The sequence below is a fragment of the Homo sapiens genome, chromosome 10, assembly GCF_000001405.40.
Source record: "Homo sapiens chromosome 10, GRCh38.p14 Primary Assembly".
Taxonomy (NCBI): Eukaryota; Metazoa; Chordata; class Mammalia; order Primates; family Hominidae; genus Homo; species Homo sapiens.
Genome location: NC_000010.11, coordinates 103,901,864 through 103,920,165, shown reverse-complemented (window position 1 = coordinate 103,920,165; position 18,302 = coordinate 103,901,864). Strand labels below are relative to the sequence as shown.

General features: G+C 42.2%; 1 protein-coding gene across 1 annotated transcript in view, besides 9 other annotated features; it reads left to right on the top strand.

Annotated features, from left to right (window-relative positions):
* Positions 1,671–2,020: a silencer, noted in NCBI's record as "silent region_2791". NCBI's record gives its function as "represses an Ori minimal core promoter by ATAC-STARR-seq in GM12878 lymphoblastoid cells {active_cell/tissue: GM12878}" and the evidence as "EXISTENCE:reporter gene assay evidence [ECO:0000049][PMID:35858748]".
* Positions 1,671–2,520: a biological region, named in NCBI's record as "H3K27ac-H3K4me1 hESC enhancer GRCh37_chr10:105677593-105678238".
* Positions 1,686–2,331: an enhancer, noted in NCBI's record as "H3K27ac-H3K4me1 hESC enhancer chr10:105677593-105678238 (GRCh37/hg19 assembly coordinates)". NCBI's record gives its function as "activates a minimal SCP1, AML or CMV promoter by ChIP-STARR-seq in primed H9 embryonic stem cells {active_cell/tissue: H9 hESC(primed)}" and the evidence as "EXISTENCE:reporter gene assay evidence [ECO:0000049][PMID:30033119]".
* Positions 1,761–2,055: an enhancer, noted in NCBI's record as "tiled region #190; HepG2 Activating DNase unmatched - State 1:Tss, and K562 Activating DNase unmatched - State 8:EnhW". NCBI's record gives its function as "activates a minimal TATA promoter and a strong SV40 promoter by Sharpr-MPRA in HepG2 cells, with weaker activation in K562 cells {active_cell/tissue: HepG2 | K562}" and the evidence as "EXISTENCE:reporter gene assay evidence [ECO:0000049][PMID:27701403]".
* STN1 (STN1 subunit of CST complex) overlaps positions 1,982–18,302 on the top strand; it is a 40,616-nt gene continuing 24,295 nt past the window's right edge. Inside the window, exons 1-4 of the mRNA NM_024928.5 lie at positions 1,982–2,066; positions 2,510–2,704; positions 9,544–9,639; positions 15,010–15,075. Coding sequence (NP_079204.2) covers positions 2,572–2,704; positions 9,544–9,639; positions 15,010–15,075 — 295 coding nt within the window. The 5' untranslated portion in view covers positions 1,982–2,066; positions 2,510–2,571. The remainder of the gene's footprint in view (positions 2,067–2,509; positions 2,705–9,543; positions 9,640–15,009; positions 15,076–18,302) is intronic.
* Positions 2,191–2,520: an enhancer, noted in NCBI's record as "active region_3976". NCBI's record gives its function as "activates an Ori minimal core promoter by ATAC-STARR-seq in GM12878 lymphoblastoid cells {active_cell/tissue: GM12878}" and the evidence as "EXISTENCE:reporter gene assay evidence [ECO:0000049][PMID:35858748]".
* Positions 11,673–11,817: an enhancer, noted in NCBI's record as "145 bp 10:105668179 sequence used in MPRA reporter constructs". NCBI's record gives its function as "activates a minimal TATA-containing promoter with rs35176048 allelic activity by MPRAs in C283T melanocytes and UACC903 melanoma cells {active_cell/tissue: C283T | UACC903}" and the evidence as "EXISTENCE:reporter gene assay evidence [ECO:0000049][PMID:36423637]".
* Positions 11,743–11,745: a transcriptional cis regulatory region, noted in NCBI's record as "rs35176048 or 10:105668179 MPRA-significant variant associated with a GWAS melanoma risk locus at 10q24.33". NCBI's record gives its function as "allelic transcriptional activity by MPRAs in C283T melanocytes and UACC903 melanoma cells {active_cell/tissue: C283T | UACC903}" and the evidence as "EXISTENCE:reporter gene assay evidence [ECO:0000049][PMID:36423637]".
* Positions 11,862–12,463: an enhancer, noted in NCBI's record as "OCT4-NANOG-H3K27ac-H3K4me1 hESC enhancer chr10:105667461-105668062 (GRCh37/hg19 assembly coordinates)". NCBI's record gives its function as "activates a minimal SCP1, AML or CMV promoter by ChIP-STARR-seq in naive H9 embryonic stem cells {active_cell/tissue: H9 hESC(naive)}" and the evidence as "EXISTENCE:reporter gene assay evidence [ECO:0000049][PMID:30033119]".
* Positions 11,869–11,998: an enhancer, noted in NCBI's record as "active region_3975". NCBI's record gives its function as "activates an Ori minimal core promoter by ATAC-STARR-seq in GM12878 lymphoblastoid cells {active_cell/tissue: GM12878}" and the evidence as "EXISTENCE:reporter gene assay evidence [ECO:0000049][PMID:35858748]".

The window sequence follows — 18,302 nt, the reverse complement described above, 5'->3', positions numbered from 1 at the left end:
GTCTGGAAATTCTTTTCTACATTTCACCTTAGGTTTCAGTTACAACCTACTCCTTCAGGTTTGGGGCTCAGATCAAAAGGAACACCCTTAGACTCCAAGGAGTCCTCCCTTCATTGTAAAAGATGACATTGGGACATTCTGCTCTGCTTATACCACCTGGGTGTGGTCCTTCCCAAGGCTGGCAGTAAGCATGGAGTCCAGGAGGGCTCTTTTATCCAACACTCTACCCTTGAGCGCCATGAGCATTATTCCTGAAATCATCTCAGGCTCTGACACTTAGTAGTGATTTCCTCCTTTGGGTTTCACCCTGGAGCAGATGTGTACAGTCAGGAAAATGTCACTCAACCTGTCTCTCCCCATCTGACAGGTCAGCAGGAAGCACCTGTCCTACTGGGTGTGTTTTCTTTGCAAGGGCCTTCCTCCTATAAGAGAAGGTATCTTCTCTCTCTCTCTTTTTTTTTTTTTTTTTTTAATTGAGGCAGAGTCTCACACTGTCACCCAGGCTGGAGTGCAATGGCCCGATCTCAGCTCACTGCAACCGCTGTCTCCCAGGTTCATGCGATTCTCCTGCCTCAGCCTCCCGAGTAGCTGGGATTACAGGCGCACGCCACCACATTTGGCTATTTTTGTATTTTTAGTAGAGAGGGGGTTGGTTTCCGTATATTGGCCTGCCTGGTCTTGAACTCCTGACCTCGTGATCTGCCCGCCTCGGCCTCACAAAATGTTGGGATTACAGGTGTGAGCCACCGCGCCCAGCCAGTGTCTTCTCTTAATTAAATCTTAAACCCTACATTTCCTAGTGTTCATTGCAGTAGAATCTGGGCAATGTATTTTACCAAGGACTCTTGTTTTTGAGCTTCTTAAATGGCCGGGGAGGTAATTAAATGCCATGGGTCTAATGACACACACACTTTCCATTCCAGCGGCTCCAAGTTCCTTCTCTGATAAATAGTTTAGCAATTATCTCTTTGGCCACCACCTGCCTCCCCCGGGAATGGTCTGCCAGGGTGATCTGTACTCCCCTGCCATTTTCCAGAGTCTCTGTAAATTAGGAAGAATTCCTGACGTCTCGGGTAACGTAGCTCTTTATGGGAGTGGAACGTGGCTATCTTTCCTCACTTTAAAATAGAAATTCTGGAGACTAAGCACCATCAAGGTGGCCATGATTTACCAAAATGCCAGCTTTTCAAAGTTCTTAAGTGTACAACCTTCCAGACTGTAGACCGAACAAGGGTAAAGGAGACAAAATGTATTGTCATGATTTTGCACGGCTAGTCTCTGGCAGAGTCAAGACCTCACATTCACTCGAGGGCTCAAATTTAGATATTGACATCTCCAAGTGAAACTAGAGTCCTAAGTGTGTGAGTCAGGTCACTTACCAACTGTAAATGAACATTTAAAATATGCCACAATGCACTCGTGGCACTGCTTACTTTTTATCTGTTTTACATATCAGGAATCAAAAAGAAAAATAGTCTGATCCTGACCCAACCTCTAGGAGGCCCAGGTTCAGGGTCCCGCCACCAGCAGGAGGAGGGGTGAAAGGTGACTAGAAGAGCGGCGTTAGAACTGCAGGAATTTCAAGGTCGCCTCCTAGGCCTCAGCGGTGGAGGCTAGCACGAAGGCGGGGCTGCAGCGCTGCCTGAACCAAAAGTACGCTGCGCTGAGGCGGGGCACGGAACGGGCTGGACTTCGGCTGGATGGGGCCTAGCGGATGGTTGGGCCGCGGCGGGATGGGGCGGGGCTTCGGGCGGGATGGGGCGGGGCTTCGGGCAGGATGGGGCGTGGCCGCGGCGGGATGGGTGGGGTCTGGGTGGGATGAGGCGGGACTTCGGGAGAGATGGGGCGGAGCCGTGGCGAGGCGCTGCAGCAGAAAGGAAATGCGCTGGCGGGGAGACCGGGGTTGGTCCCTGGCGGGGCAGGGGGCGGGCTCAGGCCGGAACTCCAGAGACGACCTCAGCCAACTGCTCCTGCGCCGGGCGGGGTCGTCGCCGCCAGCGGCTCCGAGCGCCGGAAGGGCCAGGTCTCAGGGCTCCTGGAGCTGCAGGCGGCGGGAGGGGCTACAAGTGGGTCCATTTTTTAGTATCTTTTTTCCTCCTTTTCTTGGCTCATCCCCAAAAGCGGAAAGTTTAGGGCAGAGCGACAGTCAGACCCATCCACTATGCCCCAACACGTGCAGGGCTGCGAGGGCGCCCGTTCCTCCCGGGACCCCAAGCGGTTTCTGCTACGCCTGTACAGACGTATCTTCCCAGAGTGAAAGTTGATGTTTAGCCGTTCCGAAGTTGGTGCTTTGTGGGAAGGAGAACAGCGGGAGAGCCGTAAGGAACGCAGGCGTCCTGACGTGAGGAACGCCTCTTAACACGCCCCGTGGCATGGAGTTTGACAGGGCCCTGGATCCCTGCGTTCACCCCTCCTGGAGTCCTGGACGCCCACCTGGGAGCAGCGTCAGGGCCGTGCCACTTTGACCCACGTTAAACGCATTGCATCCTCATTTCTGTGTCCCATCTAGATGCTTGACTCAGTGATGCAGAACCTTTCAGAGTTAGCTGGAAGCCACAGCCCTGCCTCTTGATGCAGCCTGGATCCAGCCGGTGTGAAGAGGAGACCCCTTCCCTCTTGTGGGGTTTGGATCCTGTGTTTCTAGCCTTTGCAAAACTCTACATCAGGGATATCCTGGACATGAAGGAGTCCCGCCAGGTGCCAGGTATGTGGCTAGCCACCCTGGGATGCCCTGGGCTGCATCTGCCACCCTTTCCCAAAGTCTCAGAAAGCTGGGATTAGAGGCTTTTAGGAGAGCCTTCCCTGCTGCAGGCTTTGAAAGGGACCTAGCCTGGACCTTCGCATGAGTTCATTTATTTGCAAGGTAAAAAAAACAGTCTAAATCTTTTTTTTTTTTTTTTTTTTTTTAGTAGGTGTTTGGGGGAGTAACTTTTGTACTGGGGTTTTTACCTCCATTTAGGGTCTTTCATGCTTAAAAATGCTCATTTGTTTTTCTTTGGCCCTGCTCCTGTTGGAGAGATCGCTGGGCCAGATATTCCTAGGCCTGGCTCCTTTCCTAAATGTGCCACTTACCTGGTCCGGGCATGTGACTCACCTTCTGCAAAGTCTGGGTTTCTTTGTAAAAATGGAGCTTAACCCTGTGTAATGGAATCTTTTGATTCCTGATATGTAAAGGGGGTTTGTTTTCTTTTGAATTAAGCAGAATCAAAATATTATAAACTCCCTGAGAGGAAGAACATCATCTGTCTTGTTCACCTTTGTAATCCCAGGGCTTAGAACAGTGCCTGGCATATAGTGGGCCCTCAAATAGAAATAGCAGTTGAAGCAACAAGGCATTATACATGTAAAGTTTAAATTTTCTTTTTTTTTTTTTGTATTAGAATAGTGGCTACTAGAGATAGGCTTATCTTACCTAAAAATATAACAAGTATAGTTTGGGGTGGATTTAAATAATTCACGTAGCTGTGTAATAATTCACAAATAGCCACATGTTTACTGTGCTATTTGAGAAGTTTGGTTAAACTTTCTTTGCTATTTTGAGTGAAGCTTTCCAGTCAAGGTCCTTCTGAATAACAAACTATGAGTTAGAAGTAGTCAAGAATCTCAAGCATCCACAGTTTTAATGAGATAAGGTTTTGTTTGTTTCCAGTTAAATGTACAAATATATTTGGATGACCTTATGCTAATGCCTTTTGTACAGATTTTTCGCCACACCTTTATTTCCTAATTATTGTTGGAAATGGTCTGTGTTTTCCCTTGGAAGGCAGCCAACCTCCTCCACAGTTTTCCATTTTCCAGTCTGGTTTTCTTCATAGCTCATCTCTTCAGGAAGAAATTAATTCACACCAAATTCTAGCCTTGCTTAATGATCTTCTGCAGGTGAGAAAACAGGTACCAAGGACATGACAGGGGCTTAACTCTACCTGTAGGCAAAAGACTTTATGATGTGTTAAAAACAAACCAACAAAAACAGGACCAGTGATCTTTGATTTATCACTGGTGAGAATGTTTCCAAGGTGTTTTAAAAATGAAACCTCACGGTTAAAGCAGACATCAGCTGACAGATTGGATACTTTTAGACCTGGGGCCCCCAACCCCTGGGACCACAGACCACTACTGGTACATGGCCATTAGGAACTGGGCCACACAGCAGGAAGTGAGTGGTTGGCCAGTGAGCATTACTGCCTGAGCCCCACATCCTGTCACATCAGCAGCGGCATTACATTCTTTTAGGAGCGCAAACCTTATTGTGAACTGCACGTGTGAGGGATCTAGTTGCACACTCCTTAGGATAATCTAATGCCTCATGATCTGAGGTGGAACAGTTTCATCCCCAAACCGTTCCCCCAACCCCCATCCCCGGAAAAATTGTCTTCTACAAAACCGGTGTCAAAAAGGTTGGGGACCACTGCTTTAGACTATACCATAGTGTTCTGGGGGGTGGGGAATTCCACTCCTAGGTTTTTGTTTTGTTGTTGTGTTTGGTTCCATTTACTATAAAGGCAAAACTTTTGACTACATAAAATTTAGGATTGTTTAAACAGCAAAGAATATCTTAAACAAAATAACAAAGACAAACCCCAAAAATGATAAAATATGAAATGAATGTGTTGTGTGATAAAGAATTTCACTGACCTTTGCCCTTGGTTCCTGCAGGGTAACATCTAAATTATTATAGTTTCCTGAGTGATAGGAGCGTCATCATTATTCATGGTGCCCTCTCGAACCACACTTGAATTTATGCGAATCAGGTGGTTCATGCTGGATCCCTAGATAGTTTGGGGTGGGGCTGTCTATGCCTAAAAGACCAACTGTTCAATTAGAGAGTTGGGGGTTTTGAGCCAGATCATATCAGTCTGACCCTTTGGGAAGGGAGTGGGGCTGGAGATTGAGTTCAGTTATGTGGCCAATCATTCAGTTAATTGTGCCTACCTTATGAGACCTCAGTAAAAACTCTGGACACTGAGGGTCAGATGAGCTTCCCTAGTTGATAATCATGTGTTGGTGTGTCAGGGGGCAAGGTGTCAAGGACACAGAAGCTTTGTGTTTGTGCCCTCCCAGACCCTGCCTTAGCATCTCTTCATTTGGCTGGCCCTGATTTGGATCCTTCATGGATAAAACTATAATCATAAGTATAGCACCTTCCTGAGTCCTGTGAGTCATTCTAGCAAATTATCAAACCTGAGGGAGTGTTGGGGACCCCCAAATTTATAACCAGTTGGTCAGAAGTGCAGTTGGCCTGAGGACTCTCACAAAACTTGGGACTCATGACTCAAATGAGGGCAGTATTGTTGGGGACTGTGCCCTTCACCTGTGAAATTTAACCTATCTTTGAGTAGTTAGCATCAGAATTGCATTGCAAAATGATTGCAAAACGTCAGCTCCTCAAAATTTGAATTTAGAGTTGAACTAAGAAAAATACTGTGAAATTTGATTGTGGTGGTATTTAGATTTGTGTGGGTTCTTTTTGTTTTGTTTTGTTTTTGGGTTTTTTTTGCATTAAAAAAAAAGTATCCCAGGTACAGTGGCTCATGCCTGTAATCCCAGCACTTTGGGAGGCCAAGGCGGGAGGATCACTTGAGCCCAGAGTTCAAGACCAGCCTGGGCAACAAAGTGAGACCCCGTGTCTGAGTTTTAAAAAGCAGTACCTATGGTCCCAGTTAGTCAGGAGGCTGAGGTGGGAGAATCACTTTAGCCTGGAAGGTCAAGGCTGCAGTAAGCTGTGATTGTACCACTGCCTTCCAGTCTGGACAACAGAGCAAGACCCTGTCTCAAAAAAAAAAAAAAAAAATATATATATATATATATATATATATATATATATATATATGTATTTTTAATAATAGCTCATAACATACAGAAGTCGTATTTATTGTTTTAAATATCTCTATCCATGTCAAACTTTAATGATGGGTTAAATAATAGTGACTCTTTTATTTAAATCAGCATATAATACTTATCCTATTATTCTAGTGGGTACAATGAAGTGGAAATAATATATTCATAAGAATTATATTAAATCTGGTTGAAAAAGATTATCTTAGGTGTTTTAATGCTGTCAAACATAAATAACATAGCATCGATTAAATAACAGCAGTTAAACTAAAAAGAGAGCAATCAAAAGTACTTTTAAAAAGAGAAAACAGTCAAATGTCTTGCTGTGGTTGTGGATGTTCAGGGTTGGCTGCTTGAAATCCGAGTCAACCTGCCTGTGACCCTAGATCCCTGAACCCTTATAGCTTGACCCTCCTCCTTCTTGGGGGCCTGATGATCCAGGGGGTCCTCTGATGCTTTTAGGCCTCTGTGGGCTGCATGTGGAACAGCAGGAACACAAGGGCCTTGGGAAAGGCTGGAACATGAGCTCTGTTATCTAGTATTTGTTACCATTTTCTTTTCTTAGTTCATTAAGCTTTCTCTCAGTTGACAGAGCAGCCATCCAACTTTCCTGAGCTCTCTTCTTATAGAAGATCACTTTGATACAAGAAAATGGCTCTCTAATTCTTTTTTCCATGTCTTCAGCCATCTTTTTGTAGATGCTGTGCATCTGATACGTATAGTTCACGTTTCTATATACTTGGAGAAGTTTCTTCTTTCTAAGCAGTGTATTTCCTCCTCAGTTGCTTTTCTCTGAGTTTTAAAATTCAAACTATCTGTTATAGTCTTCTGATCTCTTTCTCCGTTGTTCTGTGATGCTTTTAAGATTTTTTTTTTTTCATCAGCCACTTGGAACTGGAAGGGTTTTGTTGCATCTTCATCTTGAGTGACTGTCCTTAAAGGCAAGTCATTGTTGTCAGTCCGTGAGATGAAAATTCACAGGGCTCACTTTTCTGTCCTTTTTCAAGAAAGTCTACTGTGTCCACAAGTGAAGACCTGTTCAGATTTTTATTAAGTGTTGCCACATACAAAGTTGATACCATTGGATGACTGGCCTCCATCACAGGTGACTTGAGTACTTCATTGGTTTGTGCCATTAGCCCAGTCTTCTCAATGCCTTTCCCCCAGACTTCAACCCAGGAAGAATACCTTTTGTTCCACTCTTCTCCCCATCTGAAAGTGTTTTTGCTCTTTATTAAAACCACGACAGTGGTATATGCTAGGATCTCCTTGGAGACCCAAAGAATCCTGGGACTTTCAGACATCACCAGCAGAGCATCCTGCTGCTTCTCAACCAACTGGAAAGACATTTCAGTGGCAGACAGCCGGCCCTCTGTGGGTCCAAACAGCTCTGCTTTCTGCCTCTGATTGCCTATGTGCTGTGGGCCACAACAGACCCTGTGGAGTGTCTGTCTCTAATACAAACAAGTACCTGGCAGCCAGGAAGGACCATCACGTAGGCCAGGGGAGCGGGGGCCAGCCCTATTCTATAAAACAGTTCTCTCTAACTTTACTCTGCTCAGTGTACAAATAGTGATATAGAGCATTTGGGGAGGCAGAAAGGGCTGAGTGCAGCCAGAGATCCTGCCTGGAGCTCAGGCCACCTGGCCCTGCAGCAAACCTAGACCACCAAAGCAGCACCATGCCTCAGCCCTGCTCTGCACACAGGCACTCCAAGGCTGAGTGGTGGGGTGTACGGCAGTAGAGGGCATCCCTGGGTGAGGCTCATTTTCCTAGTTTAAAGTTTGCTTCTGCCATAAGGAAGCCTGCCCTTGACTACACAGGACACAGGGATCTCCCTTCTCTGCAGGCTCCCTATCCTTTTGCGTTTGGTCAGTGCAGGCAGGCAGGGGCAGGGGACTGAAGATCTCATCAATGGTGTTATGGAAAAGACTAAGTTTCAATTGTGAGAACTTGGGAGAAGCCAGTTGGAACTGGCTACATCTTAAAATTTTATGGCCTGGGTGCAGTGGCTCACACCTATAATTCTAGTGCTTTGGGAGGCCAAGAGTTTGAGGCCAGCATGGGCGACAGGGAGAGACCCCATCTCTATGAAAAATTTTAAAAATTAGTTGGGCTTCTGCTTGAGACCAGGAGTTGAGACTGGAACCACTTTGTCTCCATTCAATCCAAGTTTTCCTGGATGGAGGTGACTCTCTTTTTGGGGGTGACACAGTGACCCAGGCTCCTTCCCTCCTTGTTCCTGCCATCTTCAGCTCATGCCTGCAAGGTGGTCCTGAGGACAATCTCCAACCACCAGGTTATCTCTTGAAGCGTGCCTCTGTGGAGGGAGAGGGTCTTGCTTTTGGCTAAATTTGCCACCTCTTATTTCTTAAAACCACGTCTCACTCCCTTGGTGTCTCTCTGTAACTGAGGCTTAGAAGCTCCTTGTTCATTCTTTGGACTCTTTCTCAGTCCCTTTGTCTACAAGGGAAACAGAGCCATCAGCAGAGGCCAGTCTGGGGGTTATAAGGGGCGTCGGGATTCAGGCCACAGGTCCCCCCATGAATGGACAGAATAGAAGCTGTGACTATGCTTGATGTGAGGGGAAGAATGGCCAAATGCCTGAGGTGATCATTGTTTCTTAATTTAGAATTCGTATATTTATTTTAAAAAGGACTTGACTGGGTGTGGTGGCTCCCAGCACTTTGAGACACCAAGGTGGGAGGATCGCTTGAGGCCGGGAGTTCAAGACCAGCCTGGGCAACAAAGTGAGATGCCCATGTCTAATTTAAAAAAAAGAAAAAGGAAATCACCATATGAAAGTTTATAACCTGTTTCTGAAAGTAAAGAATTTAGCCGTCATGGGGGCGGGGGGAAGAGGCTGGAAAAGAGATTGGGCAGGACTCTTTAGCTGCAGGTGACAGGAACACAGTGCGTGTAGCTTAAGGTGAAGTGGGGAGCTCGGGTTAGGTTATTGGGGGACAGGCAGAAGGGAAGACCTGCAGGAGCCAGGACAGCCCTGGGACCATCAGGGACTCCCTGCTCTGAGCAGCCCCTCTGTGTCCTGGCCCCAAGTCAGAAAAAAGCCTCTGGGTATCAGTGGGTAGGTTCCCCCTCTCAGCTTTCTCCTCTGGCAGGAAGTTGCCTGCCACCATCTGTAGCCTAGGTTTTGAAAACAGAGTTTTAAAAAGAGAAGTTTTGGGGTTGTAACCTGGCCCCAAAGGGTAGCGTTTTGTAACCTACTTACTGTTTTTTTTTAAAAAAAATGCTATTGCCAGTTCAAAGAAATCATGACTGGTTTCTTAGAAAAGCACTTGTTTGAAAAAAAAAAAAAGCCAAAGAAGCCTTTCTCATGGTTTCCTCTCTCTTTCCTTCTAGTTGCTTCAAATATAGTCCTGTGTTTGGTCCCCCAGTATAATGACTGTTTTCAGGCCCCTTGTGAGCATTCAGAACAGGGTGCATTAACCAAATCTAGTTGGACAGCGTTGGTTTTCTCCCGTCTAGTGCAAGCTTTAATGCCAAGCTTTCTACTTAGGACCTGTGAGGAAAAGACATTGGAATTTCTTGGGGCGTTGTCATTTGTCAAGGACTGATTCTTAAGTCTAGAATTTCAGCAAACAGCATGGATTGATTTTTTTACACTCCCTTCCCCCCTACAAGTTAAGATTTATTGAAGCAGAAAATGTAATCATACATTATGTCGACTTTGCTTTTTTTAAATTTTAGGTGTATTTTTGTACAATGGACATCCAATAAAACAGGTAGATGTCTTGGGAACTGTCATTGGAGTGAGAGAAAGAGATGCTTTCTACAGTTATGGAGGTAAGAACAATTGTGTCTGAAATGAAGTTGATGTAGAAGGCTGACCCTTCTGGGCTGAAAGTTGGATTTCAGCAGCCCCAGCCATTTAGAGTAGCTGGGGACCCTCACTAAGGGCATGTACTTTCTCTATGGGGTGCCCCTTATAGCCCCAGACACGGGCTAAGAATAAAATGAGGCAACGGGTAGGAATGATACTGATGAATTCAGTGAAGTGACAGCTGCTGAGGTGCTAAGAAGTGGAAGAATTAAAATACAGCCCCCTATGAGCATCGATGGACGGGCAGGGGGGCACCTGATGCCAAAGGGTATATCTGTAAATAGCAAAGCGTGGTAATATGTGGTTATGTGGATCACTTTAAAAAGCGAAGACCAGATTAATGTTAAAGTAGATTCTTTAACAACACAGGAAGATGTGAAAAATAATTTTAAAATATTTATATCCAGAACAGTTAACAAAAAGCCTTTTGATACCCAAAGGGGTAAATACCCATTATCAGAAAGTTTATTTTCCCTCATGATGGAAGCTTAATAAAGGGTTTCTATATTTTGGACACCAGAGAATTGCTCAAATGTGATTTTAGTGTAATAGGTCTTTCTTTTTTCATTGAGTTGATTTTTAAGCATTTAATACATTGCCTTGTACAACTCCAAGCTTCTCTATAATCAAGAGCCCAAGCTAGATATTTTGTGGGAAACTTAACTTTAAATTCCAAACCTTTGCTGAAATTGACATTGTCACTTTTTGTGCTGTGCCTTGGATTTGTATTCTTACTCTTCTTGAGGAAAGATAGAAGGCAGTTGAACTTTGTGACCAAGAGCGTTTCATTGGCAGTCCCTGCATGATTGATAATTTGTAGATACAATATTATTGCATTTCTTTACATGTATTCATTTTCCTGAAGAGTATTATCTTGTGCTTTTAATAAAATAACATGTGAAAAATAAAAGCTTATTTTTTCTGCTTTTTCTCAGCATATATATATGTACATATATATGTACATATATATACATATATACATATATACATATACACACACACATATATATACATATATACATATATATACATATATACATATATACATATATATACATATATATACATATATACATATATACATATATATACATATATACATATATATACATATATATATATATTTTTTTTTTTTGATTCTGAAAAGGATCATCCTGTCAGAAATTCCCATACTGAATCTCTTCTCTGCTTTATTTTACCAAAGATATTGGTCCTTTTTTTCTCCAGACAACTCAACAAATATTTACTAAGTTCCTACAGTGTATCCAGCTATGGGCAGTACACTGTGGTATATAGTACAGTGCTTCCTCTCCAAATGCCAACAACGAAATAATAGCGTCTTTCAGTTTGTAAAGCACTTTTATATGCATAATTTCATATTATTCTCCCTCTAGTCTTTTGAAACAGAAAGTACAGGTATTATTTCCATTTTGTAGATGAGAAAACTAAGGCTTAGTAACTTACTCAAGATTCCACTGATGGAGATTTGTGGGTCCATTCTGTTTACTGACTCCAGTGTGTTCTGTGGTCTCCATATAACTCAGTTTGATTTTTCTCTCCTCCTCCTTTCTTCCATCCCCCACCCACCAAAAAAAAAAAAATTAACTGCATTTGATTTTTAGTTTTCTGTTTTTCAGATCAAATAAATGAGACTGTTTGAGGACTTTAAAATCCTGGCCCTAGAACCAGGCTAGATATTAAGCCTGTGTCTAAAGGAGCTTCACTTAACCTCTTTTCCCATTATAAAAAGATTAAGGCACTATGATTGCCTCTTCTCCAGTAAGCATTTCCCTCTGAGTGAGTGTCTGAGGAGCATGAAACATCTGTGGGCTTTGGGAAAATAAAAAGCATCTGACTGCTGAAATTATTGAGAGTAGAGAGGCTTTTGCAACTTTAATTCTTGTGGAGAACTGCCCCTCTCCTTGCTGTCCTCAGGCACAATATGGCTTTTGGGCCATCTGCCAGGTGGCCGCTCCCTGCTGTTCTGGGTTCTGCTTCCCCTGACTCACCGCAGGCCTGTGCTGGGGGTGCTTCCTGCTCGCACTGACTCATCCCGCAGCTGAAACAAGGCCAGCGGCCCAGGCGGTACTGTGTAGCTGCTGAGGACATTGTGCAGCACTGCAAGGGTGCCTCCATTCAGGGGCATTCCAGCAGCCAGACCTCTGGGCACCAAGGCACAGGGTCTGCTGGGAGAGGTCACAAACTGGGAAGTCCGGGGGTTGGTGACAGTGCCCAGAGTGCACAGAACACTTGGTAGCAACTCGAGCTTAGACCTAGAATATTGGAAGGCTACAGTCAAGACCAGAATGACCTCGCATTCTCTAGGACAAATGTTCATGTGCTAATTTTTTTTTTTTTTTTGAGATGGAGTCTCGCTCTGTGGCCCACGCTGGAGTGCAGTGGTGTGATCTTGGCTCACTGCAACCCCCGCCTCCCGGGTTCAAGTGATTCTCCTGCCTCAGCCTTCTGAGTAGCTGGGACTACAGGTGCTTACCACCACACCCAGCTAATTTTTGTATTTTTAGTAGAGTTGTAGTTTCACCATGTTGGCCAGGCTGGTCTCGAACTCCTGGCCTCAAGTGATCTGCCCACCTCGGCCTCCCAAAGTGCTGAGATTACAGGCGTGAGCCACTGCTCCTGGCCTGCTAATTTTTTTTTTTTTAACTTTCTATTATACTATAAATCAAGCTTTTCACCTACAGAGAAGTGGTGTGCCTGGAAGTGCCATGCATTTTTTTAACGCAAAATGTCCTTATTCATTTTTTGGATTCTTAAAATGGTATTTACTCATTATAAAATAAAATTTCAAACTAGAGATAATTTTAATGAAGTATATAAAAATCATATGAAACACTATAAATCAGGCAAAACAATGTCAGTGTTTGGGTGAACATCCTTCCTCATTCTAAACATGTTCCCAGTATCAAAGAAATATAGAAATGCCTATTTCCTTAGTACTATTATGCATATTTATTTCTCAGTGTTTCTGAAATTAGGCTTACAGTCAACGTATACATTGAATGTGGGGTTCCTTCCCCACACTCCAAGAGAAACTGCTCTTAGTATTTAAAGTCTTAAAATCATTTCTGTCAAAATACACTGTTTAATGTTGCACATAAATTGGATTATATATTTCTATTTTACAATGAGCCATGTATATCTTTTTATTCTCATATACTACGTCATTGTAATTTTTTTAACCAATTCCATATTTATAAACATTTAGGTATTTCCAAGTGTCAGTATTATAAAGAATACTACAGTGAACAGCCTTACATAGATGTATGTATCTGTGTACTTGTTTTTGTTTTATCTGGAAGTAATTGTTAAGTCAAAGGATATATACATTTAAAAACAACTTTTTTTAAGAGGCAGGGTCTCACTGTGTTGCCCAGGCTGGAGTGCAGTGGCTATCACAGGCACAATCATAGCACACTGCAGCCCCAAACTCTTGGACTCAAGCAATCCTGCCTCAGCCCCCCAAGTAGCAGGCATGTGCCACCGCACCTGGCTTACATTTCACAATCCGATGCCTGTTTACAAACTTGCTCATTAAGATTTAAATTTTAGAAATGTGTTACTAATTTATACTCCCACTATCGACATATGAGGGTATCAGTATTTTTAATATTTGTCAATTTCATTGTTGATAAATTATGTATACTTGCTTTTCTTAATGGTAACTAGTGAACTTATACTGATGTATTTTTATTGGCCATTTTTAGATCTTCCATGAATCGCATATTCTTTTCTTTGCCACTTTTTCTCTTGTGATGTTGATCTTTTTCTTATTAATTTATATGAGCTCTTTATTTATTTTTTATTTTTTGAAACAAGGTTTCATTCTGTTGCCCAGGCTGGAGTGCAGTGGCATGATCATGGCTCACTGCAGCCTTGAACTCCTGGGCTCAAGCAATTCTCCCACCTCAGCCTCCCAAGTAGCTGGGACTACAGGCACATACCACCAAGCCTGGCTAATTTAAAAATTTTTTTTTGGTAGAGACGGGGTCTCCCTGTGTTGCCCAGGCTGGTCTCAAACTCCTAGGCTCAAGTGATCCTCCTGCCTTGGCTTCCCAAAGTGCTGGGATTATAGGCATGAGCCACCATGTCCAGCCTATGAGCTCTTTATATATTAAATCATTAACCCTATCATTTGGAATATTGCTATCCAGTATTAGTTTTTAGGTGGTTAGACTTATCAGACTTTCTTTAATGAGTTCTGATTTTAAGATTCTGCTTAAAGAAGTCTCACCCCACCCACTGTAAGTCCAGGGTTAAAGGTATTCACCCATATCTTCTTCTCATCTTAAGTTTACCTTTTTTATATTTAATAAAATGAAACCCATCTAGGATTTATTTTAGTATAGGAAGTACTCTTTTTGGCTTTTTCTTCAGCATAGATTTAGGCCAGCAGTAACAAATTTTGCCTTAGATTTCTTCAGGATTGTGTGTGCTTTTACAACAGTCTAGTTGATGATTTTTTTTTAAATTTAGAGACCCACTGACCCCATGCTTAGCAACCTCTGTTCTGAGTTTGTCGGAAATTAGGCAAAGAGAAAATGCCTGTTATTCCCTAGCAAACATCTCCAAATTCCTCTGTAGTTGTAAATATAACTGCAATGGGAATTGTTTGATTTTTTGCAAAAATGAGATAAGCCAGGAATAACATAAGCCAGACTAGTACTGTTTTTGTGGCCAGGATATAATTATTTTCTATAATGAAAATAAAACGGTGCCCTTCTGTGATGTGCTTGGCTTTCCTTACAGCCCCTGCGGTGGTGAGGACTGGGCAAAAGATCTTTCACAAAGAGAAACCCAGGCCAGATGACTTGGAACACTTTGTCTTGGGAAGTCAGCACACTAGCAAAGAGACTGTGACAGAAGGCTGCGCCCTAAGTGCCTGTGCCTCTAACCACACTCCACACGATGCTCTCTTGTTTCAGGGTGGGAGAGAAAGGCTGATTTTCTATGTGAGCAGTCATTCAGTTTTTGCACTTAACTTCCCAAGGCCACCATTTTTAGTAGAGAGGTGTAGACCAGCATCATGAGGGTACCCTTGAGGGTACTAATCGTTAGTACCTTGAGGTAGGATAAGTGAAATGCTGACCATATCCCACTGGGCTTGTGTATTACATTGACTTGTGCAGACAAGCAGTTTATACTCGTATGTAGTGAGAGGTTGTTTCAAAGGTGGAAGGAGAGTTTGATAAGGGATTTGCTTCTCCAGGCTATTGAAAGAGGTCATCTTTCAGTATGGCTGAATGCAATGACAGCATGCTAATTCACCAGCCTTGCCCAAATCTCTCTTATACCCTTTTGCTTTTCTCTTGCAGTGGATGACAGCACTGGAGTTATAAACTGCATCTGCTGGAAAAAGTTGAATACTGAGTCTGTATCAGGTAATTTTATTTGCCACATTCCTTTACTTTTCACCTAACTAATGGATTTTACTCAATGTAGTTCATCAAAACAGCTATAGGGCTAAATTTTCACATTTATCTGCTGGTGAGTTACATTGATCTACCTGAAGCACTATACCCAGAGCTTTGGCTGCTCTGAAAACTGATGCCATAGGAGAGCCAGTTGCTTTTCTTTCTCCCATCTCTTTGGTGCTCACTGCTTCCTAAGCCTACAAGAATGTGAATAGGTTACAGGGAGTTTCAGCAATTCATTTTTACCATGCCCATTATTACATAAGTCAAGGTGTCTTAGCCTAATTGCAAGTCAGGTCTGAATCCCCTTGTCCCAGCCATATCACTTGACCAAAGAACATTTTGAAGACTGTTTCTCTCACATGGTTGCCACTAACTTCTGTGCTGCCATGGTCCAGATTTTCTAAAATCTCTGTGTTCAAACAAATAATACCAGGAATTCTAAGACTGAGAAGGTAAGATAGGATTCCTTTGGAAATTATCCATTAAGTAATATAAATTAAAAGAACTTTAAAATTGTATAGTGAATACATTGACTATAACTGAAACAACATTTGGAGTTGCTTGAATATATTTTAATAATTTTTAGATACTTTTTTTTTTTTTTAAAGTTAGGTTCTCACTATGTTTCCAGGGCTGGTCTCAAACTCCTGGACACAAGTGATCCTCCTGCCTCAGCCTCCCAAAGTGTTAGGATTACAGGCTTGAGCCACCACACCCGGCCTAATTTTTAGATATTTTTTAATTTAAGTTCATAATATGAAAGAATATCGTGCAATATTGGTGATGGTTTTTGGTTCTAGAGAAGCTTTGAAAACTGGAACCTTGTTTTTCCTGTGTTTTACAACATATACAGTATAGTGCCATACACAGTGGGGTTATTCAGTAAACACTGCCTGCTCTAATATCTAACATCTAGTATCTATCTACTTGCATTATGTATGGTAAGAATATCTAGTGCTTAGAGTCGTTTCTTCTTTTTTGCCATTACGTGTCAGAATCTCAACTTTGTACTTTGACTATACCGATCAATGGAATGCTCATTTGCTTAATTTTCTGATGTATTTACATTTAGAATTTGGCCATCAGTTTCATGTAACTTTGGAATTCTAATTCCTAATTTGGGAACATCTAAATCAATGGCATTGCTTTGGTGAGGAAGGTTTGTAGATAGATTTAAGGGAGACAACGTGTTTTTAGGCAGATACCTCATAGGCAAGAAATAAACCTATGAGACAATCAGGTATCTGGATTTTTATGTATGTCTGAGGTGTTTTTCTTAATCTGTTTTGTGCTGCTGTTACAGAATACCTAAGACTGGGTAATTTTATAAAGAAAGAAATTTATTTCTCATAGTTCTGGAGGCCAGAAATTCCAAGATCAAAGTTTTGGTGTCTGGTGAGGTCCGGGTTTCCCCTCCAAGATGGCACCTTGAATGCTTCATCCTCCAGAGGGGAGGAGAACTGTTCCTCACATGGCAGAAGAGCGTGAGAATGAGAACCACTTCTGCAAACCCATTTTATAGTGGCCTTAATTCATTCATGAGAGTGGAGCTCTCATAACCTAAACACCTCCCATTAGACCCCATCTTCTAACACTGTTGCATTGGGGGTTAAATTTCTAACACATGAGATTTTGAGGGGACAAAAACATTGAAACTTGTTTTTGTCAAACTGTAGCAGTATTAAAATCATTTGCAGATTTTTGGTTGTTGTCACAATCTTCAGTCAGAAGGTGTAGTTTGAATATGCGTACTTGTTCTAGATGGGGAGTCAGCAAAGTTTTTCTGTAAAGGGCCATATTTTCTGTTTGTGCACCCTATGGTCTGTGTGTCTCAACTATTCAACGCTGCCATTATAACAGAAAGTAACCATAGGTAGTACATAAGCAAATGGGCATGGCTGTGTTCCAATAAAACTTTATTTTAAAAAACAGGCTGTGGATGGATTTGGTCCATGGGCTATAGTTTGCAGACCCCTGTTTTAGTCATTGTTTCAGTTTTCAAAATTAACTCTTTTTAAAGAAATAGCATCATCAGGAATATATAATTCTTATACTTCGTAATTTTTTAGATCAACAAAATGGGTATTAATACTGAGAGTCAGATTTTTAAAATATCAATAAGTAGATGAATGGATGAACAATCACAGTAGGTAGCCTTAAGATTGCTTTGCAAATATAACGAGAAGGTAAGAGTAGAAGGAGAAAACCTAAAAATGATTCTCATCGTCTTTAAATTGTTCCCAACTAGCCCATTCTCTCCTTTTAATTTAATTGCCCTTAGTTTAAAAGCTTTCCATTGGAAGGTGGCCAGCAAAGACTAATTTTTTAAACAAAATTTAGTCTGAGTCAAAATCATGTTCCACTCAGTTAAAGTAAAAGAATATAATATTAGCTTTCATAAATGTCACATTGAATGTACCATTTGGACTTAGCTTATGAGCAAAGTTAAGATTTCCTGGCCCTGAGTATTCGAATGTTAAAGGGGATTTATCTTTCATGATGGAATAGACACTGAAAGTGAAGTTCTGTCAGGCTCCAGTCTTCTCATTATATTCATTTAATTACACAGCTTGAGCCTCCTTTTGGCAACTTGGCTCACCCTTTAAGTGAAAGGTGGGCCTCTTTTTCTCAGACCAACCATCAGTCTGATCATTTCAGTGGTGCTATGTGAAGCATTTATTATCACCTATAATGTCTGCATAATGACAATGAGATTTATAAATACCTTTAAAATTCAGCCTAAGTAGAAGAGGGCCTGGGGATAGGAACTGCTACTTTTGAAAAAGTAGCAGTTGGGGATTTTTTGAAGAAACCCAGTAAGCTCTGAGCAGCGGTAATGCTGATTGCGTCCAGGTTCCTACCTGGACTCACTGAATGCACAGAGTTCTCTGTGCTCCCTATGTTGCTGTTTCCCTGGGTATAGTAGGTGTGTTCAAGGAAAATTAATGCCTCTGTACATTACAGAGCCACAGTTGTCAAAATTATATTAGGTTGATTTTGATGAAGGGTTTCTCTATAAAGAAATACAGAGAGTAGATCATCTTGTGTAAAAACACAGCCTCTCCTGCAATTTAAAAGCAAAATAAGATGTACGGAATAATTATGTATTTTTTAAGGTATTAAAAATCCAAATGACTGAAGCTGGTGTAGGAGTTGTGAGCCTGCATGCATTACTGACAATGTTGTCTAAA